This window comes from Homo sapiens, chromosome 7, assembly GCF_000001405.40.
Source record: "Homo sapiens chromosome 7, GRCh38.p14 Primary Assembly".
NCBI lineage: Eukaryota > Metazoa > Chordata > Mammalia > Primates > Hominidae > Homo > Homo sapiens.
The window spans coordinates 132,944,021-132,971,887 of NC_000007.14; the positions used below are offsets into that span (position 1 = coordinate 132,944,021).

The 27,867-nt window shown below is 37.8% G+C and overlaps 1 protein-coding gene across 4 annotated transcripts in view, besides 1 other annotated feature; it reads right to left on the reverse strand.

The window, feature by feature from the left end:
- Nucleotides 1–27,867, reverse strand: part of CHCHD3 (coiled-coil-helix-coiled-coil-helix domain containing 3) — a 297,221-nt gene that overhangs the window by 159,151 nt on the left and 110,203 nt on the right. The window lies entirely within an intron of this gene.
- Nucleotides 21,449–21,743: a silencer, noted in NCBI's record as "tiled region #5703; K562 Repressive DNase matched - State 14:Gen5'". NCBI's record gives its function as "represses a minimal TATA promoter and a strong SV40 promoter by Sharpr-MPRA in K562 cells {active_cell/tissue: K562}" and the evidence as "EXISTENCE:reporter gene assay evidence [ECO:0000049][PMID:27701403]".

Genomic DNA, 27,867 nt, shown 5'->3' on the forward strand with positions numbered 1-27,867 from the left:
ATGAGCTCCTACTAGCATGCATGTACAGAAAGAAAACATTAAAATATACTCTTTAAACAGCAAATTTGCTTTTAGAAATTTATCAAAAACAGAAAATAAGTCATCAATATCAAGTCATTAATTGCTCCTTAGCAATCAATGTACAATTCTCAAATCCTCCCCTTTAACCAATCAATTGCTGACTTCTTGGTGACACAGGGTGCCTTACAACTGCTGGCAACCCAAAAATTAGGAACACAGTACTGTTGGTTTTAATATCATCATCTCCCTTGATTCTCCAACTGCTCCTCTATCAAGACTCTAGCAGGGCTGAGTGATCTGAGAGAGCAGGAGTGCAGATTGGCTAAGATTTAGCCAAGAAGACATTCTTCTTAGCATTGTCGGGAATAGTAAAAAAGGATAAAGAAAAAAAAAAAAGAAAACACCACAAATATCCAAAAATGGAAAAATGGTCAAATATCCAAAATATACATTAAAAGAATAGCTGGAATATTAGTAATATGAAAAAAATAGTCACAATACATTGCTATAATAGAAATATTACATTTTTATTGCTGTAAAAAATATTGTTGTAATAAAATAATTACATTGTTGTAAAAAAAAATGTATAAATAGTAGTAAAATATGAGCCGAAATTTGTACCTCCTCCATCCTATCCATACACTCCCCAGAAGTATATATGCATGGTAAAAACAGGAATCAAACAGCAAGTATTAACACTAGTCATCAGGAGTGGTAGGATTATGGATGTTTTACGTTTTCAAATCTACTGGTGCAAATTTTTGTATAATAAACATTTTGTATAATAAACATTTGCATTTGTTTTAATATAACTGTCAATATGTTACAAAATTATTATTCCAAAATGAAAGCCTACTCTAAACTTTCTTTGTTCTCGTTACTTATGAGTACATAAAGAACTTCTTTATTGACTTTATAGGCAGTTACCTAACTGAATTCTCTCAGCTTATAAAAGTTTGTCAGCTGGCTTTCTTCATTTTGCAGGTATACAATCTAAAAATAATGGAAATTTTACTTCCTCCTTTCCATGTTTTCCCTTCTACTTTTTTCTCTTGTCTAACGGCATTGGTTAGTACTTCCTGAAAAATATAAAGAATGCATATTTTAATCTGTTCCTGACATTAATGAGAGTGCTTTTTTAAAATTGCCATTAAAAATCATGAAGACTTCTTGGGTTTTCATTGTTTTAAAAATTCAGCTTTCAAAAAGGTTCCCCTTAAGCCAGCACTACCTAACATTAAAACAATTAATTAAATAAATGTGAAAATACTCAGAAATAATGCTTTTCAAGTAAGGCATGGTATTCCAGAACTTTATTTTTGTGGTAAATAAATATAAAAGAATGGATGAGATTTCTTTAATATTGTACATATATGTATAAACATATTCACACAAGTACATATCAATGGGGTTGCCAAGCACCAAAATGAATTCCTATTGTCTATTAAAAGTTAAAATGGTTTAGATGTGATTAAATGACCTCAAACTTCTTTACAAGTGATAGGTAGGAAGCATGAGAATGGAAAAGACCAAAAGAGGGGTCTGAAGAAAACACATATGAGAGTAAGCTGATAAGGTAACATTACTACGAGTTAGTGGTCATTTGTGCAACCCATTTAATAACACTCATCTTGCTTTAATAAAAGTTTTAAAAGAACTTATAAAAAGAAAAACTAAGATACTTAGATAAATCTTGAAGCTCAACTAAAATGTAGGCATTGACACTAGGCACACAGGAGGTGCTCACAAGATTTTCTCAATTAAATTTGAAAAGAAAATGGTATAATGTGCTTTTTTCTTCCTAAAGATTGTTCAATGCAATCTACATAAACACCAGTTAGCAATTATGCTCATGAACATGAGAAATTCTATGAAGCATAATCTTCAGAGGGCAGAGTTACAAAAGTTCAGATAAACATTTTTATTGAAAATGATAACCAGAACTATCTGTATGCACACTGTCCAAAGATACATTCAATAATTATAAAATGCATAAAATTAGACACATTCTTATTACATCAAACATAAAAAATCATACTGATGATTACTATATTTAGACTTGATAAGATATTCTCACGTAACCATTAAGGAATAATTCAATTTAACTAAAAATTTACTTGGCCTTTATATATGTGTGTGTGTGTGTGTGTATACACACACATATACATATAATGTACACACATTTCTCACTGTTATATACAGACAGAGAGAAAGAGAAAGAGAACAGTGAAAAATTCAAAATTATTTTAATACCTTTGAAATGTACCTGATATATAAAAATAAGCACCAAGCAGTGCCTGGTCCATAGTAGGTACTCTATAAATACTATAGAATAAAAATCAGCCAGTTTTAAACTACTAGGGCAGGAACATAACTGAGAAGAGCTCCTCTATGGTGTTGCTCAGTTTGCTCAAGATCTGAGTTAAAACTGGAATTTCATGTCATTTGGAGCTCCACTCAGTAGGGAATGGCAAACATTAAACTTTTATTGTTACAGGTCATTAAGAATTAACTCCAAAAATTTATATCCAAAAATGATGAGTCTCCTAGTCTAATTTTATAAAAATATATTCCATTTTTAATTAGAGTATAAATATATTGGTTTATAATTTTATAAATATGGAGTAAAACCTGGTATATATCAGACTGAGCTCCACAGTGATGGATTCTATTTTTATGCAAACTTGCATCTTTATTACTGAGATTATACCCTGAAATATGTGATAGTTTACCAAATGAATGGATGAATAAATGAGCGAATTATATTACAATGTATTTAGATAATGTTTTTAATCAGAAGAAATATCTAAATTTTATATTTATTCTTATTGTTTCTTAATGTTCAAATCCACAGTAACTTTTATACCACCCTAAAACATTTGCCAAGCTGCTGAGCTTCGACAGTTGTCTCTTCTACCAGAAAATGTACACAAACCACCATACTTTTCTGCTAAACAGTTATAAACCTTTCCTCTTTCTCAAAAAGTGGACCAATGAGTACTTATTTACAAGACAGATACTAGAAAATCTAATGAAGATTACTGCTTTTTACGGAAAATAAATGGTTATTTTTAAAGCAAGTAGACAATTAGATATCTTAATAAAATAACTTTCTTATAATTAGCTAATCACTACTGTTAATGCTTTAAATTTATTATTATCATAGTTGAAGGCATAATTTTATTAAACAAAAATTGAATGAAATAAGCCATGTAGTAGAAATAACCAGAAACAGGAGGCACTTTATCTCAATATCTAAGCATACCTATTTAGCTTTTGTACTAATTTCTTTTCCTTCCTTCCTTTCAAAACAAATTCACTAACATCTTCACTTTATTTTAAAACTTTACACATGAAGTTGGAGTAAAGAAAAAAAACTCTTCTGATGGCCAGTAAGCATGTAAAATAAAAAGTTTCTAAATTATAGCCTGAAAAAATGAGATACCAAACAAATTCAAAGGAAATACAGAAATGAAAACCACTGTTTTTCTAAGTTTAAAATTCTCTTTTAATAAATATCAAGTTTTACATTTAACAGACATTGAAAGACTCAAATGTTTAGTATAACTGCTGAATATCTCTATTTTTAAAAGTTACACTTTGAAAACAATATAAATTGATGGCACTACATATAACATTTGATAATGTTATAATAAGTAATATCATTGCATTTGATAGTACAGATCTAGATGATGACTATGTTTAAAACAAGCATTAAAACCTTCCTGCCAATTTTCAAATGTTAAACTCCAAATTTAAAAAAAAATCTATCAGGTAGTCAATTTATGTAATTAAACATTAAATGAAATTTGATTTCCTCCTATGTTGTGCCACTTTAATTACTGTATTTCAATATGACATACAGATATCATTTAAAATGCCAAAAGGATTATCAACATAAAATAAAAGTGTGACAAGGATCCCACAGTCAGTTGAAAGACACAACCATTGGGGGGAAAAAGTCACAAATACAAAAATAAATAAATAATATACAAAACTTGCAATGTCATTATCAAACAAGACTAGTTTTTTGTTTTGTTTTCTTTTGTTTTTAACAAATATACACAATAAACTGAGATTTCCTGTTTTGGGATTTCCTTCTTTGCCTTCCAAAAACTCAAGAAAAATGGGCTCACTACTTTACAGTCACTCCCCATCTCTAACTCAAAATGTTACTATAGTTTTATTACCCACTGACCTTGACTCTGACTGCTGGCTGTTTCCAAAAATCAAATTTATTCTCAGCTGATGAAGATTTATCACCTTGGAGGCTGGTCAAAGAGATGTGCTTTTTCATGCAACTCTTGATAGACAGAAAGAAAAGAAAGAGGGGAAGAAAATGGTGGAAGAGTGAGGGACGGAGAAGGAGAAGGGAGGGTAGGATCGAAACTTCGATAAGGGCAGCTATAGTAGAAAACGTAACAGCTTCCCAAGGAGATTCCTTTGGGAGAGGGAATATATAATGTGTAATTTTGGTTTATTTTTAAACAATTCATGTGAAATCGCAGTCAGTTCTGCAGGGATGTTTATTACCAACAACGATACCCAAACTCAAGAGGAAAAAGTTTCTATGGAAAATCAACTACTAGTGTTCAAGTAACACATGTCTACTGAACATACTATATCAATGGCTTTTTAAGATATTTTTTCCACCATTACACACTGACAATTGACTTTTTCACAGCCAAAACTTTAAAATGGCAAAACAGATTTTGAAGACATTTTCTGTAATTAAAACGGCTGCTTAGATGCTGAGAGAGAAATTCTCAAGGATAATGTTGCTTTTCACTTTTCTCTTAAAAGATTCAAATGAAAGAGAAATGTGTTGAAATCAAGTAATTAGAATTCCATTTGGTCCGTCATCCCTTTTCAAAATTTATTTAAAGATTCTAGATTTTACTGACAACTCTTTAGCACCACAATAACTAGGAAAATAATAGTATTTAGTGCTTTCAAATGAATACATATAATCAAAACGTCAATGTGATTTACAATCGCAAAGGAGTTGTCAAGAAATGTTAAATATCTAAATAGTTTTGAAAATTGGCTTTGCATCAGAAAGCTCAAATATCATTTTTGAAGACCATATAACTGTGGCAGATACTAACTCTTCATATATCTATCTATAACAGGGCCTCTGAATTTTTGCATGGCTCATATCATCCTAGGGAAAAACAAGATATTTCCTAGCTTCCCTTGATGCTGGATATGTATGGGCAACTGAGTACTGACCAACAGAATGTGAAGGAAAGTGACAAGCACGCCTCCCAGGACTCATCTTAAAAGAGAGAGGACAAACGCCTATTTCCTGCTCCCCTACTCAATCCCACTGCCCGGAACAAGAAGATACTGAGCTTTCTTGGACCCTGTGGATGAGAAATGAACAAAAATACATACTAATGAAGTTTAAAATCACAAGTTCCATCTTCTAATGAGCCTATGTTTATTTGCCTAAGTAGCATAACAGTAATTGTTCCAGAATGCAAAAATGTACGAGATGTACTCTGGAAATGGAAAAATACTTTTCTTCAATTCAATGAACAGATTCTGAATTTTAAACAACCCAATAATTTTTAAAAGTAACACACCTAGCAAAGAATAAATGCCCTCATATAGTGTCAGTATTTCAAACAAATAAGAGAAACCAATATTCAGACCCTAAAGTTAATAAAATATGTCTTAAGACTTGTGAAAATCAAATTATTTGCTTCCTAATCACCAAGAAAAAAATATAGAAAAAAATACCACCTCTTCACAAAGGAGTTAGGAGTGCAGTATGAAAATTATAATATTGGTAAGGCTACAAAGATCATTGTAGAGTAGCACAGAATGGCTAGTCTAGACACAAAAAGTAGACACAAGTTAGAAGCTCTGGCCCTTCCAATGGTCAGCTGTATAAACCTGACCACATCAGCTTTCCTCCAGGAGGTTCTCAGTTGTGTTTAGGAATATGGGATACTTTGTGTTCTGCCCTCTTCATAATTCTGTTGTAAAACATTAAATATGAAAAAATATATCAGTAGATATTAAAAAAGAGCATCCTTAGTAAATATAACTATTATTCAAATAACTGTGAGAAAAGTATACATTGATTTGCATGTTTCAAAAGTAAAGAGGTCATTTGGCTTTTTTAAAGAAATAAGTCATAGTGAAAAACTAACTATTGGGTACTACATTCACTACCTGGGTGACGGGATCGACTACATGCTAAACCTCAGCATCATGCAATATACCCACATAACAAACATGTACAGTGTACCCCCCAGTCCAAAATAGAGTAAATGCATTATAAAAAATCTAATAGAGACCTTATCTCACTCAACTTTGACATTTTAGGAAAAAGATGTGGCTTAATTTGCTTCTCTGAAGATCTCCCCCTCACAACTAAATAAATAACGAGCCTAATATTTACCAGTACTAGTAAAAATGGCATATACCTTACAAAACATTTGTCATCTTATAAGATGCAAATCACATTGATTCCCTGATTGATCATAAGACAGAGTATGTAAGACAGCCAACGGGCCATCCACACACACCAGGAGGAAGACTGTTGTGGAGTTAAGGGTGCTGGCAAACAGCAACTTTAAACATTTTTTTACATTAAATTTGTTATTTTTTAAAGAAGGTTTTTTTTCATTAACTATTTTAGAAAGCCTGAAAAAGTAATTCCCAGATAGCACATTAAATGCTGTGAATTATGTTATACTCCATAGTAGGTTGCTATGTGGTTTCTTGATTTTATCAAAATTACATCCAAGGGAATGAAAACCATTTGTCTACATTTAAAATTCCTCATCTCTACAACTCAATATTTTTCCTTGATGCATTCTAAATGCCCTAGTAGAAATTATTTTGAAAAGAAACCATTAAAGGTATGCTAATGACTCTGAATTGTGACAGATGCTAGGGAAACAGGCCTGTTGGCTGAGGCACAGCACCCTTAACCATCTATCATAAAGTACTCCGGACCTGCTCATTCATTACTGCTGTGTTGCTCAAGGGGAGAGAAAAACAGCAAGAGTTTCTCTTTCTGAGGCAAAAATCATAAGCCACTCACTAATTCTAATGTCATGATCCCCCACTGTTTGTCTGCATGATAATTAGGAAAATCAGAAGTAGTGAAATATTGTTTTAAGAACGTGATCAGAATTAAACTGTTGAAAAGGCCAAGGAGGAAACTCCACACATCAACTAGTGGGTCTCCAAAACTAGATACTAACTGTAGGCAAAAGAAATCCTATTTCCTAGGAATGAATCAAGAAATAGAGTCCCTGGCTTTACAGGGAGGGGTGCAAGGAGAAGGGAAGTATTTAGAAAGAAGCAATAGAAACACATCATTACTCTGAGAATCTTCTTTCTATAACCTGTTGGGAATATTTGTTGATCAACCATTTGGATGAGGTGCACTGATCCAGCCACTGTGGGAAACACATATACGAAGCCATATAACTACACTTTGGTCAGTGACAGACTGCATACTGAACGGTGACTGTGCATGGTTATACCATATAGCCTAGGTATGTAGGGTATGTAGTAGGATATACCATCTAGGTTTGTGTAAGTACATTATATGATGTTGACACAACAACAAAATTGCCTAATGATGCATTTCCCAGAACATATCCCTGTCGCTAAGCTATAGGACTGGATATCAAAAATATATTTATTAAGAAATATAGAATTTGCAGTTTTACAAAGTGCTTGCTTATATTAATACATTGCCTCATTTGATCCTACCAAGAAAGCTATGATGAAAATGCCATCTTGATTTCAGAGGAGAGGAAACTGAAGCTCAGGTAAGTGAGGTGACTAGCTAAACATCACAAGCTCATTAGTTGAAGAGCCCATAAATCATGTCTTTTGTCTCTAAAGCCAGTGCTCTCTTCTCTAAGACCTAATAGGAAGGAGGTGGCATCAAGGGAGAGGCCCAAGAGGAAAGATGAGTAGAAATATTTTCCTTAAAAACATGAAGAGCATGACTGCTACATACATGCTTAATACAGATTTCACTGTCATACAATGTGGAGGAAGCTTGAAAGTGCATATGGGCACAGAGGCCTTGGCACTGACCAGCAGGTTTGCTAGGCAAGACCAAAGCCAACCCAACTACTGGGCTGCCAACCAGCAGCAAGAGGAGAATGACATCTTGCCTCTTTCATGTCCTTAATCCATTTTTCACATCGAGGGTTAAGCATTAGAATGGTGTATTTTAAAAATACACATGCCTAGGTCCCACCCTGTAAGTCTGAATCCACTGGGGCATTTATACTCTCTAATTGTTTGGCAGAGGGACTTTAATGACCGGCCAGACTTGAGCCTCTCGATGCTAGAACTGCACAGCTCTTTCTTTTCCACCTGCATCCACAATTGATGGAGAAAATGAGGTTGGCACAAAATTCGCAACTTTAAAAGTTGGCTACAGATTTCATAAGAGCCAGTGAAGGACAAGAAGTGTATGAAAGAATCAAATAGTAAACAATCTTGTCTAAGGAACTAATATCAAGCCTGAGTTATTTTAACTAAAGAAAGGAAAGTACTCAAGCCAGTCTTGAATAGAGAGATGAGCAGTTCACTTTCATACCAAATACTATAAACATAGGCCATATAGAGTTAGCTGATCATACGTGTCTGATAAAAAGTGTTATAGTATTGTAGGCTCAAAAGTTTGTACTAACAGCTTTCCACTGGAGTCCAAATTATTGGCTGCAGTAAAACCAAATGCTCATTACCTACAAAAGGATTTTAAGTGTCCACCTTTCCAATGGGAGTTGGCCTCAAGGCACTAAAGAATTATGACAACAGGGAAGGTGGCAGTAAAATACTGCACTTTTCAAAAGACCTTTGAAGTGTTCTAAAGAGGTCTCTCACAGCCATCTATAAAGTAGAAATAAATGTATCCATTATTTACTTATTTCAGAACCATGTGGTAATAAACTCAATATTATATTCAATACCTCACTTCATTATGCCAATAGCTGCCTACTCTGGCCAGTGAAAGGACTGTTTAAACGGCAAGTCCTTCATTTATATGTAAAAGTCCATGAACTAATGTCATCCATCAAGGAAAATTCCTCAGTGATAGCTAGTCTATAAAATGAGCCTTATAGAGTCCTTCACTCCACGTAACTTTCCGCGGCCTTACTAAGTGATTATAACCTTCTCCAATGCTGTGAATTTAATATATTGGCAGGAGGTATTGAGATGTAATGAAGACTCTGAAGGTGCCAGCCACAGCATGGAGAAACAGAGCCTGTCACCTGTCTACCTTCGGGGAGGCTCTATTTCTCCCCACAACGAGGCTCCTATGTCTACTCAGGAACCACAGCTCCACCACCTTCCAGACTGCCCTGAGGGACATCCTGACTTCATGCTCACATAACAGAACAGATCTGACCTTAGGTTGACCAAATGCAGCCCAGCATGGGACCAAATTGCCATTATACCAAGACTGGACTACTGGACAACTCAAAGGAGCCAGTCCACAGCTGAGCCTCCCTGACCCCAGCTCTGCCTATTCAGACTGATTCTCTTCTCCCTGCCAGCTATCCTGGAGGTCCCAGCAGGTCTGCTCAACTTAGGACATGTATGGTGAACTGCATAAATTCCATTCAGGAAGTGTTAGTGAGCTCCTGTTGCATGTAAATCCCAGTATGGAAATGCAAGTATAAATAACTTCTGCCTCTCCCACCCCAAGGACGGACTTCACATTTGAACATGGCCATACTTGAACAGACTGTATTTTACTCAAACAGGAGTAAAGGTCATAAGTAGGGTGACCATACGTCTTGGTTTGCCTGGAGCATCCCAGTTTATGTGTGTTGTCTCCGTATAATTAACAGTGCCTCCTTTCACTTTCCCAGTTTGGATGATAAATTATCGGGTTGCCCTAGCCATAAAAGAGTCATAAAAGAGTTTGGAAATATGGAGAAGATTGTGATCATTTCTGTGTTAGGAAATCAGGAAGGCTTCTTGAAGAATGAGATATTTATGCTATGGGATGAAATGAAAGGCAAAGTTTAAAAGAGGGCTGAGAGGTGTGGTAGAAAGCAGGGGAGGATGTCCCAGGCAGAGGGACAGGCAGGAGGGTTAGGGCAGCAGCAGGCCTGCCATGTGCTTCCAAGGCACATGGGGGTCCGCCTTGCTCTGGTGTATATGGCAGCCACTCTAAGCTTCTTGAGAGCAAGGATTCTGCTCCATCTTGTGTCCCTATCTCCTGACACAGCACCTGGTGCAGAGGAGCACAAAACCCATGGGCTGCTATTCTACTGAATGAATCGAGGCATGGCAACATTTTGTCACCTATGTCTGATTACATGGCTCTGTTACAAGAGGAAGCTCATGGCCACGACACTAGACATTTTGCTGGCCTGACAGTTTAGGAGAATGTGGAAGAAGCTGTCAGGGCTGGCAGAACCCACGTCCTTTGTGGACACAGGGTCAGGGATTATCCTCAGGCAACCATCCAGAGACAAATTTTGGAGCAGTGGTTGAGAGGTGAAGGCATGTGACAATGCCAACATGGGGCCACCACAGCCCTCAACCTGGGCTGTCTTCAGCATCTCAACAAAAGACGGACTCTACAATGTTCAGAGACAAGGGGAGCCCACAGCAGCAGGCCCAATTCCTCAGATGGTACAATTCCCAACATTCCACAAAATCCTGCCCAGAAAAGCCACCAGGACAGCAGCAGTCCCACTGAGGGGCCAAGTAGAGCAGATATCTCCATTCTGTATGCACTCGACGTCCCTCGCCATCTGCCTGTACCTCTAGACGTCCATACAGCTTGCCCTGACGGAGGCTCATTGTGGTCCTACTCAGATAAAGCATAAGCCTGATCACAGACTGCATGTGTCTCAAGCTCCATGACCTTGTCCTCCACAAAATTCCTCAAAAATGGAGGCCATACCATGTACCGCAGAGATGGGTTTCCTCTCTGAGCAAAAACATCAAGGAATTGCAAAGTGGGAAGCCATCAAAAACGGTAACTGCAACTGGGGAAGAGTCAGCGTAGGCCCTTCTCTAAATGGGCCTTAGCCCAGGGAAGTCATAGGGTCCCAAACTATCACACTGTGTGGCAGGGCACATCACCAACAACGTCAAGGTAGAAAGGAGGCTTTTTCCCTCAGAGGGTGTGTGTGTGTGTGTGTGTGTGTGTGTGTGTGTGTGTGTGTTGCGGGGTGGGCTGGAAGACATTCCTCAATCAACTATTGTTCTTCCCTACCTATGCAGAAAAGACCCACAACCATGGTCGTGAACAAAGCAAACACCTCTACACTCTACAGCCATTGGTGTGCATATTACGAACATGATTGCCTAGCTTTCTACATCATTTGCAATGCAGGGCAAAAAGTACTTGTTAGTTTTTTTCATCTAGAAAGTGGAGGCAATTGCTTTCACAGTTAATTTAATGTCCATCAACTAGACTACGATATCCAGATGTTTGGTCAAACACCAGTCTAGCTGGGGTTTTTTGTTTGTTTGTTTTTTGGGGTTTTTTGTTTTTTTTTTTTAATGTGATTAACATTTAAATCTTCAGACTTTGAATAAAACATTACCTTTTATAATGTGGATGGGCCTGTTAAAGAAAAAGTTGTTCATCATACTTGTTAAGACGGCAGAGCAGACTTTATTCAAGAGGGCCCATGGCAATAGGTGGAGGAACTAATGCAATGAGGTCTTGGAGTGAGGGGAAGAGATTGGCTCAATTCTGATTCTAACAAGGAAGAGCAGAGATTTATAACCAAGGAGCAAGGTGGGGGATCAGCGAATAGAAAAGTATCAAGAGGAAACATCAAGGATAAGGAGCTGACTGAATAGGATCATTGCTGAAGCCAATGCCAGGGTGATAATATCCAGGGTGGTCAGATAACAAGGGTGGGGGATTTTCCGAAAACTGACTTAGCGGGATTCTTGCTCAAAGTGGATTCTACAAGAGGGAAACCTAAGATCAGTCTATTCAGAAAGGATTTAACAGAGCCTGACTAAAGTTTTGCTCAAAAAAGAGAATCTTTGTCAGGCTTCATCCAGTCAGTTGAATCCATAAGAGAGAAAGGCTGAGGTTCTCTAAGGAAGAGGGAATTCTACCTCCAGATTGCATTCAGACACAAGACTGCAACATTAAGGCTTCCCTGAATCTGAAGCCTGTTGGCCTGCCCTGAAGATTACAGACTTGACAGTCCCAACAATCACATAAGCCAATTTCTTAAAATCTATCAAGCATGGTGTACACCAATTCCTCTTACTGAAACGTAAGCTCTATTAAGGCAAAGATTTTTTATACATATATTTTGATGTATACCCAGCATATAGACCACAATGCCTAGCATATAGTAGGCCCTATACAAATAATTCTTCAATCAATGGAAATGTAAGTCAAATACATACACAAACACACATCAGTACAGACATAAAGAAGAGCGAGAAGAAAAAGTCCACTCTTGCTAAAACAATGGGCATTGGTTATGACAGGCAAGTCAAGTTATAAATTGTAAAAGCTTTATTATAATTCCACATAAGTACAATATAATGTCATTATAATCACAGAATGAGGTCTATCAATGATCATCATTCTCTGTATTCAGTGACCATATTTCTGCCTCTTTGTTTCAAGTAAGAACACACAGAGGCTACAGATATTTACTCACTATCTCACTCATTGTAACAGTCGTCTTGAAGATAACTGATAGTCTAGGCCTTTTCCTCATCATTCAAGAGAGATTACAGCATAAGACACCAGTTTCACTATCTAGGAAGTTATGACATTAATCTTTGCCCAGCCACTTAGGCTGAGGAGTTAGGTAAATGGTGGGAAGGGCTGCTAAGAAAACTGCAACATATTAGGCAGAAAACAGGAGAGAATACAAAAACAAATATACATCTCCATGCCTCTTCTGAAGAGCGATCTACCCCAAATGCCCTCTGTGTGTCTGGCTTACCCAGCAGAGGGAGAGAGCTTCCCCACCCTCAGTGTAACTGCTAATCCCAAGCCAGCCCAAATGTGCAGAAAGATCCCTGCCTTCTTGTTCTCTGTTCAGCAATCCTGAGAGCCTCTCTGAAAACCACCACAAAGACTGAAATATACCCTAGACAGGGAACCTGGAGACCTGGAGGCTGGTTCTGACTCTTTCGGTTTATTCCCAAAACCCCTGGGCCTCTTTCTTCATGAAGAAAAGGTAGAGATTAGATAGGGTGATTACTAAGATTTCTTCAAGGTCTAAAAAGAAGTACAGTGATTGTGCAAGGTAAGTTGACCCCATCTACTCGAAAGGTGCCCAGAAAAGGGTCCAATAAAAGGGAAAGTAGGAGCTAGGGCCCTAAAATAGCAATACAATGGTGGGGCCAAACTGGGAAATGGCTGCGCCACTCCAATCTGATGAGGGTCTCACCTCACTGGGCATCCCGGGGCACACACCCTCTGGGGCACACCCTTCTTAAGTTTCTTTTTTTCTTTTTTTTTGAGACAGAGTCTCACTCTGTCACCCAGGCTGCAGTGCAGTGCCACGATCTCAGCTCACTGCAACCTCTGCTTCCTGAGTTCAAGCGATTCTCCTGCCTCAGCCTCCGAGTAGCTGGGATTACAGGCTGCGCCACCGCACCTGGCTAATTTTTGTATTTTTAGTAGAGATGGGGTTTCGCCATGTTGGTCAGGCTGTCTCAAGCTTCTGACCTCAGGTGATCCACCCACCTCAGCCTCCCAAAGTGCTGGGATTACAGACGTGAGCCACTGTGCCCAGCCCTCAATTTTCTTTCTTCAATAAACTTTTGAAAATGAAAAGCCCAGTTGGCACGTGGTACAGGAGCTATTACTAGAAACAACTTCAGGCCACCTATCAAAAGGTAAAGAATTACTCTGGATGAACTTAGTATTGCACATTTGGAAGACTAGTTTGTCAACAGGCTGAGAAATTTACACAGACTTACGAATCAACCAATGGGCCAAATTATTGCTTTAAAATAAAATAAAATCTGGCCAAAAGAACACATATGTGGGACCTCCTGCTAAGATATACTCTTTCTGCAGACCAAGTACCTGGAAAGCTAAATCATAACAGGATGGCTATTTGATAAGCTTTACGGCCTGAATGTATGACGGGCATGAGGCTAAGAGGGCTTATTATAAACATCTCCACAAAAGGCAGAGACCTACAAGGGCCAGAGTTGTTACACCAGGGCAGAGGAGAAGAACACAACCATTGCTGGTCTTTTACAATCTCTTCTTTCTTTCTATACATGTATTCTTTTCTAAATAATAATTAATGGCTGAAATGTATTTTGTAAATTAATACTTACTCATTTCAGAGACTTTAGCAATCACAGAAAAGCATTTTTCAAGTATAAGAAAAAAATTCTCACACCTTGCTGTGATAATAAAAAAAATAGAAGTATGAGAAAAAAAAGGAAAAGAAAAAACAATCTTACTATGAAGGTTTCCATCCATGGAGATGTACAGGTATTAAAGAGTATCATGATTTTTATTCTATTAAACAGCACACTGTAAACATGTCTCATGATATTAAATACTCTGGAGATACATTTGTTACTTGGTTTTTATTTAAAACCATGTTTTAAAGACTGAAAAATAAAGATTGGCACATCTTTTCCTTAGATGTATTAATATAGTCCATCGGCAACAGGCCATTCTTGTTCTGAAGCCACTCAGTACATTTCAAGCTTTATCCCAAGACCACTATTTCTCTCTTACTTCTAAGTTATTTAAGAATAAGTGTCTTACTATAATCTGTGAGCACAGGTAAGTCCTCCCAAAATAACAGTGCCCTGGCCAGTTGGAAGCTTAGGTCTTATGAAATTTCCACAGTGACAAGGTAGCAAAATAGTATCTGACAAACTGACAGGTATCACCACAACTGGGAGAGGAAGAAAACATGTACCCTTCTCATCCAAATATTAACCAGCATCTTTTTTGCCCGGGCAACATATGTGTCTATCAATGGTGGTCTTGCCAAATTAAACACTTCCAGCACACTTGCCCTTAATTCTATCTTGAGAGAGAGGGAAATTAAGAATTTCAGGCCAAATAGAGAAGAAAGGGGAGGCCATGCCAAATGAGTGAAAAGTCTATTTTTGAAAAGGCATAACCTGGCAGTAGCCTCAAATCACAATGTTATTCTACCTACACCTAACTCCCAAATGAGCTCTAACTCCCAAATGAGGCTATACTCACATTCCAGAAACTTTCACCTGCAAAGTATGTATTACAAATCTAGAGAAACAGCCCCACAGCCATATATCAAACTGTGAGCACTGTAAGAGCATACCCTTAATACACAGTTGTCTGACTGTCACTTGCTTCTGTCCTATCTTCAGTGATGTGGGGACAAAAATGTTTTATGTACAGTTTCTCAAGGATAGCAGACATTAATAGAAATGCATGGATGGGGCTGGGCATGGTGGCTCACGCCTATAATCCCAACACTTTGGGAGGCTGAGGTGGGTACATCATTTGAGGTCAGGAGTTCAAGACCAGCCCGGCCAACATGGTGAAACTCTGTCTCCGATGAAAATACAAAAATTAGCAAGGCATGGTGGCAGGCACCTGTAATCCCAGCTACTCAGGAGGTTGAGGTGGGAGAATCACTTGAACCCTGGAGACAGAGGTTGCAGTGAGCCGAGATCGTGCCACTGTACTCCAGCCTGGGCGACAGAGCAAAACTCCGTCTCAAAAAAAAAAAAAAAAAAGAAAAAGAAAAAGAAAAAATAAATGCATGCATGGGTTTACAGCTGGCATAGATCAATTTCTAGTTATTTTACAATTATTGATTAGGGAACTCAAACAGCCTTTGCTATTTGCCAGACAAAAAGCTAAATACCCCCTTTCATAAATCTTGAGAAAAGGCCAAAGAAAAATGAAAACTAGTGTATTCTGGAAAGAGAACAAGCCAAGACAAGATTATAACCAAGTCAAAGCTGAGAACCAAGTAACAAACGTATCTCCAGAATAGAGCTTGAAAAACTTGCAGTCTTGGCAAGTCCCTCTCACTCGCAGCAGCAACCTTTGTTGCAATCAGAATTGACGGAGGCTTTTTCACTTCAACTAAAAGATTTCTGTCAGGGTGAACATATTTTAATCCACCGCATGCACTTGTACCATGTCATTTACAAGGACAAAACCTGACTACACCAAGAGCCTGCTTTTGTTGTGTCACTCTACGGGACCAGTGTACATGTTCCTAAGGCTCACAAAAAAAAAAATATTCAAAGAGAGGAGAGAGGAGAAGAGAGGACGGGGAAAGCAGTATTATCATACACACAGAGAGCATATGTACAGTTAGAGATGGAGCTTGGAAGTGGTGATGTGCAAGATGGAGAGACACAGTTAAAATATGCTGCATTCTAAAGGAGGATGTTATTTAGAACTTGTTCTTTTTGATGCCTCCAGGGTTGAAACTGAGCCACTCTCTTAATAATATATTGAGTTCATCAAGGAGGTAAAAAGTAATAATCAGTTTGAAGCACCAATACATTCTTCTATCACCTGTGCATGACAGGGAATGATGGGAAACTTTCTAATGATGCCACTGTCCATATGCTTAAAATTCAACATGGAGCAAGGAGGTGTTTAGAAAGGAGAAAAACAACGTCAGAAATTAGCAAAACAGAAGATCTAATGGTCACATTAAAAATTAACAAATGGGGCCAGGCATGGTGGCTCATGCCTGTAATCCTAGCACTTTGGGAAGCCAAGGCATGCAGAACACTGAGGTCAGGAGTTCAAGACCAGCCTGGCCAACATGGTGAAACCCCATCTCTACTAAAAATACAAAAAATTCACCAGGTATGGTGGCATGCATCCATAGTCCCAGCTACTCAGGAGGCAGCACAAGAATTGCTTGAACACCAGAAGCGGAGGTAGCAGTGAGCAAATATGGTGCCACTGCACTCCAGCCTGTGTGACAGACTCTATCGCCAAAACAAAAAACAAACAAAAAAAGGGGCTCAGGATGCAGCATCTCACACCTGTCATCCCAGCACTTTGGGAGGCCTAGAAAGGAGGCTCGATTGAGCCCACGAGTTCAAAATCAGCCTAGACATCATAGTGAGACCTCATCTCTACAAAAGATAAAAAATAAATTAGCCAGGTGTGGTAGTACACACCTGTAATCCCAGCTGTTTGGGAGGCTGAAGCAGGAGGATCACTTGAGCCCAGGAGGTCGAGGCTACAGTGAGCTATGATTGCACCACTGTACTCCAGCCTGGGTAACAGAGAAAGACCCTGTCCCACAAATATATTAAGTTTTAATGAGTTGAAGAAAGAAATGGAAAATAAGCAACCATTCGAAAAGATGAATCTTTGTTTAAGCTTAGAGACAGCAAAGGGGTTTCATCCACTATGATACAAAAATTTGGGTCACTTAATTATTTTTTCCCACCGGTTCTTTATTTTTCCCCAGTTTTACTGGGGTGTAACTGACAAGTAAAAATTACATATGTTTTAGGTATGCAGCATGATGACTTTATATATACATATACAATATAAAATGACTACCACAATCAAGTTAATTAACACATCTATCATCTCACACCTGTGCGTGTGCTCGCACACAATGCATGCGTGCGGTTAAGAACATTTAAGATCCATTCCCTTGGCAAATTTCAAGTATACAATAGAGTATTATTAAAAATACTGTAGAACTATAGTTACAATGCTGTACCTTCGATCCACAGAACTTATTCATCTATCTTATAACTGAAACTTTGTACCCTTTAACCAAATCTCCCCACTTCTCCCAGTCCCCTGCCTCTGGCAACCACCTTTCTATTCTTTGCTTCTGTGAGTTCAACTTTTCTAGATTCCACATATAAGTGAGAACATACAGTGTTTGTTTTTCTGTATCTCATTTATTTCACTTAGCATAATGCCCTCCAGGTTCACACTCACCATGTTGCCAATTTAAGTTTATTTTCCTAACAAAGCTCTGAGTCTTCATTCTAAGCCAACAAACACGTATTAGCAGAAAGATCCCATGCTCCCATTTCCAAGAAAAGGATCCCTCTCTCATGTTGACACTTTCAATTCAGTGACTGTCTAAAAGCATTTATGCCCGGCCTGTGACTAAACCACTTTTACTAATCAGAATAAGTAATCAATAACAAAATTCCAATTTAGCCAAGAAAATAGAGGCTTTCAACTTTAACAGTTTTTCTTTTTCTAAAATGGACTTTTTTAATAACCAAAGAAAATTAAAATAAATGTGACTCTTGGAATTGGTAACCTATTCATAAAACAAAATTACTTTATAAAAACTCAATTTATACGTATATAGAACTTCGAATTCTGTAAGAACTCCTATATTTAGATATTTATTCATCAAGGTAAGAGACTTGAAAGAGAACTACATTAACGACCTTGTCCTCATTTTAAAAAGACGGAAACAAAGGGCATAAAGAAAAGGAAGCAATTTGCCTAAAATTACATGGAGTTGTACCTGGACGGGAAGGGCAGAGGGACAGAGAGAAGGCTATTTCAGATGAAATTATTGTTCAAAAATTGTCAAAAAATAGGAAGAGTTTATTCTCTAACAGTTTTTAATGATGCAAGTTGGATGCCTGCTGCATTTTGAAGATACGGGATCTATACAGATGCTGAAAGCATTTTTAGTTCATGAAAAGAAAATTTCCAAAACAATGGTTTTTCCTCAATTCACCCACAATATAGAATATTAATCTATAGGTCTGAATGAAATTCTTCACCTCTTTTTTGCCCATTCCACTTTCTTCTTACTAAAACTCTAGCAATGACAGCAGTAACTCATAAATTGAAGTTAAAAGTATTCATCTTAATACTACTGTTTGCAAATTATGTTTAATATGGAATTTTAAGACACATCAACTATAATAGTTGCCAATATATGATCCTAGAATACATCCTGTATCCAGAGGAACAGTTGCTATAAAGAATATTATTGAGAAAATTGACAAAATTGAAACCTGGGCTAAATATTACAATAGTCATCAATGTTAAATTTATTGATTTTGACAACTATACTTGATTATGTAAGAAACACTGATTTCTAAGAGGCAGAAGTATTAAGAGGTAAATGAGCATGTCTTCTACCCATGCTCAATTGATCCCCTCCCCCAAATAAAAAAAAAAATATATATATATATAATATATGTAGGCAGAAATAGAATGATAAAGTGTGGTAAATGCCTAAAAACAGATGAATCAGAGTCAAGCTCTTTGTACTATTCTTACAACTTTACCGTAAGCTAAAAATATTTCAAAGTAAAAAGTTTAAGAAAGGAATTTTAAAATTGTAATTTTTTTTTTTTTTTTTTTTTTTTTTTTGCCAGGCACTGTGGCTCACGCCTATAATCCCAGCACTTTGGGAGGCCAAGGCGGGCGGATCACGAGGTCGGGAGATCGAGACCATCCTGGCTAACACGGTGAAACTCCGTCTCTACTAAAAATACAAAAAAATTAGCCAGGCATGGTAATGGGCGCCTGTAGTCCCAGCTACTCGCGAGGCTGAGGCAGAATGGAGTGAACCCAGGAGGTGGAGCTTGCAGTGAGCGGAGACTGCACCACTGCATTCCAGCCTGGGCGATACAGTGAGACTCCATCTCAAAAAAAAAAAAAAATTGTAATTTCCTAGTGTCTCTACCTTTACCCTATGCAACACAAACGATTATACACACACACACACACACATAATCTAGCAATGTTAATACTCAGTTGTTAGTTTTTGCAATAGTAGACATACAGTAAAATCAGTTACCAGCTCTTTCCTATCATTCTATCAGAGCTATGAGAAAAGAGCTTATTTTTTGGAAATAAACTAATTTTTAATACATTAGTTAACCTGCTGTTGAGATAATTATTCTTGGAAGTGGAAAGTATAATTGAAAAATACATTAACAATTATACAACTACATCCCCAATTTTTTGTTTCCTTTTTTGTTTGTTTAAACTTAACAAATCTCCAAAATGGTCAATGGCATAGTTTTTCAAACTCTATTCAGAGCTTGGCTTTACAAACAAACTGTAGAATATCTTCCTTTAAATTTCTCATAAAATTCAATGAAAATACAAAAGTGACTGAATTCACTACGAGTAGACACTGCTAATGTATATCACGGTTATTCCTAAAAATACTCTATTGCAGCAAGCCCACCTCTACTCTCAACAAGCATTCTCCCAGATTAATGCTTCTTTATTATTCAAAGTGACAAAAATAATTGAATCATCTCTTACCTCCCGCACAAATGAAGACTTTATGTTAGACATAAAAAAGAGTAGGCCGGGCACAGTGGCTCATGCCTGTAATCCCAGCACTTTGGGAGGCCGAGGCGGGCAGATCACAAGGTCAGGAGTTCAAGACTAGCCTGACCAACATGGTGAAACCCCGTCTCTACTAAAAATACAAAAATTAGCCGGGCATGGAGGCGTGCACCTGTAATCCCAGTTAATCAGGAGGCTGAGGCAGGAGAATCACTTGAACCCGGGAGGCGGAAGGTTGCAGTGAGCCAAGATCACGCCACTGCACTCCAGCCTAGACAACAGGGTGAGACTCAGTCTCAAAAGAAAAAGAGAAAGTTTCTGCCTTTATATACTAGTATTCCTTTGAGGCCAAGGGAATGGATAATTGCTACAAACCAGGTCCTTTTGTGTCTATATCAACCACTTCTCCCAAAGTATGACAGGCCATGGCAAACTTTCTTTAAATAAGAAAATTCAAAAATGACTTGACGAAAGTGTACAAATAGCACTTCCTTTGACCAGTATCTTTTGCAATACAGGGATTCACATAAGAGAATGTTTTTAAATACTGAAATTTACAGTTTGACATGCCAGAACTTTTTAAATGCAAAATGGTTTCTATGGAAATGGTAGTGCTAATATTTCTCACCCACGCTGGTAAACAAATTATTCTCAATCCCTGATAGCATTATGATTGTGCATACATTATTTCACTAAGCAAGAACACACAAGGCCTATTCGAGTAGTTACGGCTGCCTGCCTCTATGCTAAGTAGGCTCATAATGCTATGGGTTTTATGTGTGTGTGTGTGTGTGTGTGTGTGTTTTACTTCCTGTGAGTGTGCATCACATGCATGGCGATTAGTTGCCCTTTCTACTCTTAGCTGCAGTAATTTCTGCTTTGACCACGTGCCTAAAAGTCCATTTCCCTTTCTAATGTAATAAATCAAATCCATTACACGTTAAAAACAAAGAACAACAACAAAACTAAATTTGCTAAATTGTGCCCAAAATAAGATCACCTCGGCACAGAAGATCAGAGTTGTAACCCTGGCTCTATCTCTGTGCAACATTTAGTTTCACAGTCTCTTTGAATGTTTGCTTTATCATCTCTAATAGGAATCAATGATAGATGTCCTGCCCATATCAAACACCCAAGAAGATAGTACAGTTGAAGGCTCTTAGTTAAATGAAAAAAAAAAAAAACTAAATCTAAAAACAAATATTGCTTTTACTGTGATGCTGCTTATCAGCAAAGCTCATAAGCTTCAAGACACTAACTAGAATCACTTTGTGATGCCTTTGGGGCTCAGAGCTATGGTTCCAGGCAATGAGTTACCTGTGTTCCTGAGAGTCAAATATGTAACCTATGGATAGGTAAGATAGGATTTAAAATATGTGCATACACTGGGCTAAAGAAACTGTAAATGGATGAAGTTTAATTTCTAAGCAGAAAATGTATATGAGTAGGTTTTATCATCTCCAATAAAATTGGCCCATGACAGTGACTAGTGTTATTTCTTATCAAGAAAATATTAAAAACAAATCTGGAATTAAATTTACAGTCAGTGTTTGAAACAGGCAGAGGGTAAGTATGGAACTTTGTAATCATTTGTCATAAAAGATGGAAGAAGGGGGAAAAGCTAGCTAGAAAACTCTAAATGCTTTATCTAATCAACAAATTTCTATGACAATGAAGACATTTGATAAGTTTACCACAAGTAATCATAAATTATTGGTGCTGATCATTCCACTGTATTTTTTTCAAAATAGCATGGTGCTATCTGTGTAAATCATATTCTGCCTGCAGCAATGTAGCTTACCTCGAATTATTTCAGAATCATCTAAAATGACTCATTTTTCTATTAAAATGATGAATGGGCTAAATGAGGTATGTAATAAATACTGCAGGTTTGTAAACAGATTCCTGCTCTTGAGAGAACGGAAGCCTTACTTCATTTGGTAATTCTGCCGTTTGGTATTTTCAAGAGAAGTCATCCTTAAACTACAGTTAGTAAAGAAAAGAGTGAGCAAGAAAATGTCCAATGTCTTTATGGGTAAGGGAATAGTTACAAGATACATGAAGATAGCTGCCACCTGCCCCCATCGCCAAATCAGGACACAGGTCAGAACATCAAGAAACACAGAAAAAGCATAACTCAGTGCCATTTAGGAATCATATCAAAGCAATAAAAGCACGGATACAGAAAAGGAATACAGAGCTGTGATATTCAACACTGTGAAAAATTTAACATCCAATACACGAAAATGAAGCAGGCGTCATTGCACATGGTATATCACATAGTTTATCACATGGTAAATAATATTGCTGTTCAATGTAATACTGAATTCACTAAACCTGAGGTCCATGCACAATAGGTTGAAAACAAGTCACAAGAACTGTATCAGAACTGACAGTTGTGTGACTTGCCATGAAGACAATCTGGAAAGATTGCTGTAAGAATATAAGGAGCTCATCTGCCTTACATTCTCATTCAAAACATAATGTGCAAAACATGTACTTGGGATTGTTAAGGACTGACAGACTTGATTATGCTTAACTTTTAATTTGTTGCAGGTTAAAGCAAATACCAAGGGCTGTATTTCTTAGCCTCTTTAGTAGGAAATGAGATTATGATGTCAGTTCGATAAAATTCCAACAGACCAGGCAATGAAGTAAATATGTTCACAATGAATGCCACGTCATCATAAAGTGATGGAATTATAACCAGCCCTTTGCACCTTAATTGCCTATGGACTTTTACGCAGTGCTCTCCATATCTCACCTGGACACCCATAATGACCCAAGTGATAGGATGTCAATAAGTTATTACGGCTAACACACAGGACACCACTCAACAAGAACTGCCCTGAACCAACTGGTTTGCAAGTAACTTGATGAATTTTCAAAATCACACTTAGAAAATATGAGAACACATTCTAAGCAGAGTTATTCCCCCTAGCTGTCCTTAAATATGACTAATTGTTGCCAAGAACATCAATAGCATTCTACTCAACTGTGCTGTCTTCTTTTCTAATCACTGTCCAAAAGGCCACACAGTCTGACACAGTTCCTTGGAGAATGGCAACACCGTGTTGACTGGATAGGCCCCCAGAGTCTTGGCAGTGAGTTCTCCAGGACCAGAACACTCCACTGCTCTCCACCTCCAGGTCCCTCAATATCTAGTCAGCATAATATTGAGCTTCTCAGAGGCTATTTGGTGATGTTAAGATCCTAGGTATTTCTGGCCGGGTGCTGTGGCTGACGCCTGTAATCCCAGCACTTTGGGAGGCAAAGGAGGGAGGATCTCCTGAGCACAGGAGTTTGAGACCAGCCTGGGCAACGTGGCAAAATGCTGTTTCTTAAATAAATAAATAAATAAATAAATAAATAAATAAATAAATAAAATAAAACAAAATTAGCCAGACATGGTGGAATGTGCCTCCAGTCCCAGCTACTCAGGAGGTTGAGGTGGGAGGATCACTTGAGCCTGGGAGGTCAAGGCTGCAATGAGCCGTGATCATGCACTGCACTCCAGCCTGGGCAACAAGTAAGACCCTGTCTCAAAAAAAAAAAAAAAAGAACCTAGGCATTTCTGCCGACCTAGATGAGGAAAGCGGGTCTGACAATGTACATTTCAGAAATATATTAATCTGGGCAAGTTTTCAGGATACAAGCAAACTTTAAATCTGTAATCGCAGTCCTATTCATTCTTTGGGATCTTAACATGCAGCCTAGGCAGGCAAACTGAAACAAAACACGTTTCTCCTTTTTCACTGCAGTAGCAAACATACCTAAAGCTGCCCTGCTACTCCACAGAAAACTTGGTTCACAGTCTCTTCATAAGGTTGTATATGCATTCCAGCTGATAATAATAATGCTGCCATAACACACAGGAGGTAGAGGCCACACGTGATAACAAAGAACACAAAGGAGAAAACAGAATCTGGATACTTTGTCCCAGAAGCCCTAATACCCTGCTAAATCCAAATGCACAGGGGGCTCCCACCTGTCGTGAGGGATGCTTCCCTTTGAATTTCCTGGTAAGCTATTAAGAGAGAAGAGTCAGAAAGAATGGGACTTGCAGATGGATTCCAGAGCCCATTCTCACCAATAACACTGAGAAAAATGTCTAACACCTAAATGGCCCAAATCCTTCCAATTCAACGTGGAAATACCATATTTCAATAGTTGTCAAAAGCAAAAGCTCGAATTCATTAACTTCATTTTTGGAATTCAAAGCAAACTAATACTCTACACATATCCAAATAATTGGAGGTTAGTGTCTAGGGCAAGAAAACCAGTACACAACATACATAACCAGAGAGAGTTTTAACAGAGGTTATAATCCAAGTCTAAATTGCACCCAAAAACAACAGATTTCTAAAATTATCTTTAAATGCCCAATAAAAGAACCCGGGAAACCACTGCTTACACTGCAATTTCGTTCACCTGGCTAATTTCAGTGATACTAAAAACCCCAAGTGATCACTCTTACTCTTCTCTTACACAGAACTTTTGAGTATAAACCATGTCGATCATTTCAAAATTACAACCCCAGTTGTTTCCCTTCCTCGTTGGATAGAACCTCACTTGGACAGCAGTAGTGTTCTTATCTGCTTCCTTTAATTTAGTCATTTTTCTCTATATCCCAAATTCAAAACCGTTTTCTTTTTTACCATGAAATTTCAACTGTCACAGTTTGAAGCACAAACAAAATACAGAACTGAAAGGCATACAGCACAAAATTAATCAATTCTTCTTCTTGATTGCTTCACTGGTGCATTTCAGACAAAAGGCAAACTGGGGATGAAAAGTGACATTTTGGAGAAACAGTCGCTTAAATTTTCAAAAACTAAATTTATGCATTCACCCATCCTTTTTTTTTTTACTGTGTTTTTTTTTTTTCTAAACAGTATAAGGTTTTACAAATTCAAAAATTATAGCTTAAGTTGGGACAAAATACACAAGGCAAGAATAACCTTCCCCACAAACCTGACACTTAACTTCAGACTCTGAAGAAAAGCAACCAGATCTAATTCATCTTTGCATCCCTGGGAAATACTGCCTAGGATACAGTAGGTGTTTAATAAATATATGACGAAGGACAATGCAGAAAGGGACAAAAATACCTAATGATCTGACTAATGTTCTTGCCCAGAGCTGAACAAACAACTGGTGCAGTATCTGAGGCCAGGACCCTCCTCAATGCTACACTGAAGTCAGACTTCACGCTATGCTTAGCCCAGGACGTTTTTTACATTGATTGCTAATTTTTGTATTTCAAATGATATGAAGTTACTGATACTAGAAACCTTGCTTGTAGTTAGGCTTGACATTTCTCTCAACCCTTCAAAGCTAAAATCCTAGTAATACTACCTCCCAAATAGTTCCTACTCCTCTTCTTTCCTCTGCATCCCTGCTACCATGCCCTAATTTGGGTACTACCTGTTCTCACCTGGATTAACACAGGGCTTTCTAACTGGTCTCTGGGCTTCCAGCCATTTCCTCCTCTGCTCTTCCCTTCATACTTCATTAGAGTGTAAGCTAAAAATCAAACCCTAAACCCCATGACTGACTAAATGGACCCCCTCTTGGCCAAGGGGACCTCAGAGAAACTTAAAAACTGAGGTCTCGACCATAAAGGGATAGGAGGTTGGACATGTCTCTTTATACACCCTCTCTTTTACAGTTTAGATACAACCATTGACCAGCATTAACGTTAAAACAGAGACCACAAGACTGACAAAGCAGGCTTTTTGTGGCAATCAGGTACCAATTATAAACAGGACCTAGGGCCAGGCCAGGCAAGGGTTAAGTCGTGAATCCCCTGCACACACACACCCACTTAAAGAACAGACTATGTTCTAACTGCCACAATGATTCCCACTCAGCAACTTCTAGTAGTGTCCCCCTATCCCCACGTTTCCAAGCTTTTGCCTGCAATACCTAAGGCTGTTTCATCCCACTCCTCAACCTTGGGAGCAAATCCTACTCATACTTCAAGAGTCAGCTCAGGGGTCCTTTCCCCAGAAAATCTTTTCTATTCTTCCCCATTTCCTCTCCTCCTATTTCCAGGGCTTCAGTAGATGCAATCAGTCATTTATTCAATCAACAAATATGTATTGACTGCTTACTGTTTGCTCAGCACTGGCATATATTAGGCACTCAATTACGTGTTGAATAAATAAATGCAAACATAGCAATTAGTTAAAAGAAAGACAAAGTCCTGGCTTTCCCAAAAGTGGGAATCCTCACAAGACTATAAGTAGCATGGCTCTATAACAGACTTAGCATTTTTAAACATTATTTTTAGTGTATCTTTTACCTTTTATTCCTCAAGGACAAGATTTTGTCTTTTATTCATAGATCATTAGTACCTAACATAGTAAATTTCATACAGTAAGCACTCAATAAAACATCTGTCCAAAGAGTAATGGAAGAATTTTGAAGTAAATATTGCCTTAAGTAAGTAAATTGAGACTTCTTTTTAACATTTAGATTTAAAAAAAAAAGAAAAGAAGAGAAAATACTACATAGTTCTGTGATGATAACAAGAAATATGTGGCTGGGCATGGTGGCTCACATCTATAATCCCAACACCCTGGGAGACCAAGGCAGAAGGATCACTTGAGCCAGGAGTTCAAGATCCATAGCAAGACTCTGTCTCTACTTAAATTTTTAAAAATAATTAAAATTTAAAAAATCTAACATTAAACCAGCATAATGTAGTAAGACATAAAAAAGAGTGAGTCAAAATTTTAACTGGAATTTTAAAAAGAAAATATAACTGCAAAGTCAAAAAAACTAACTCACTACTCTTCAATTTCAAAAAAGAATCTAATGACAGCAAATATTAGATCACGTATATAAGATCTTTACAATACACATATCAAGTTGCATTAACTTTACAAATTCCCTGGTCCTGTCCTTCTAGTCAGTCTTCATCTTCTACAGAGGTGCTTTCCTGATCCTAAGAAGCATATTTTGAACGTGAGTTGCTTTTAACATTTTCATGCAGGTAAAATCATTATCAGTAGACTGCCTCTTCCAAAGCCTCTGGATAAAGTCAACTGATTAAAATGCTGGCATCACTCAGTGCTGAGTAGAGGAAGGGGCTGGTATACTCTTCCAGAATCTAGAGTGGGATTAACAGCTTCCCCAGCTAAAGCAATTCTTCCAAAGGGGAAAGTTTTGATCTGATCCTATTTTAAAACTTCAACAACAGGGCCATCATGACTTTGCCCTTCAAAGAGCTTCAATAAAGCTAGCTGCTAAAACAACTGTGGGAAGAAAAAGCCTGGACTCACATCTAAGGAGACAGAAACCTAAATGTCAGCTGTTAGTGAGCCAGAAAGATGTGGGGGGTGTGGGGTAAGGGGTGGGAATCGTTTTATTTCACAGTCCCAACATCACATCAGCTCCCGTGCTTTCACCCTCGCTCTCCTGAAAGACAACTTTTTAATTACTTCACATGTGTGAAACACAATCTTTACTTTCCTGCAGACTGCAACATTTGAGTTCTAAATAAAGAGGAACGAAGCAATGCTTGGCCATTACTCAAAGAGTCCCACATATTAGAATTAAGAATGGCAGCAATAGGGGCCCTCCAAAATAGCAGGAGC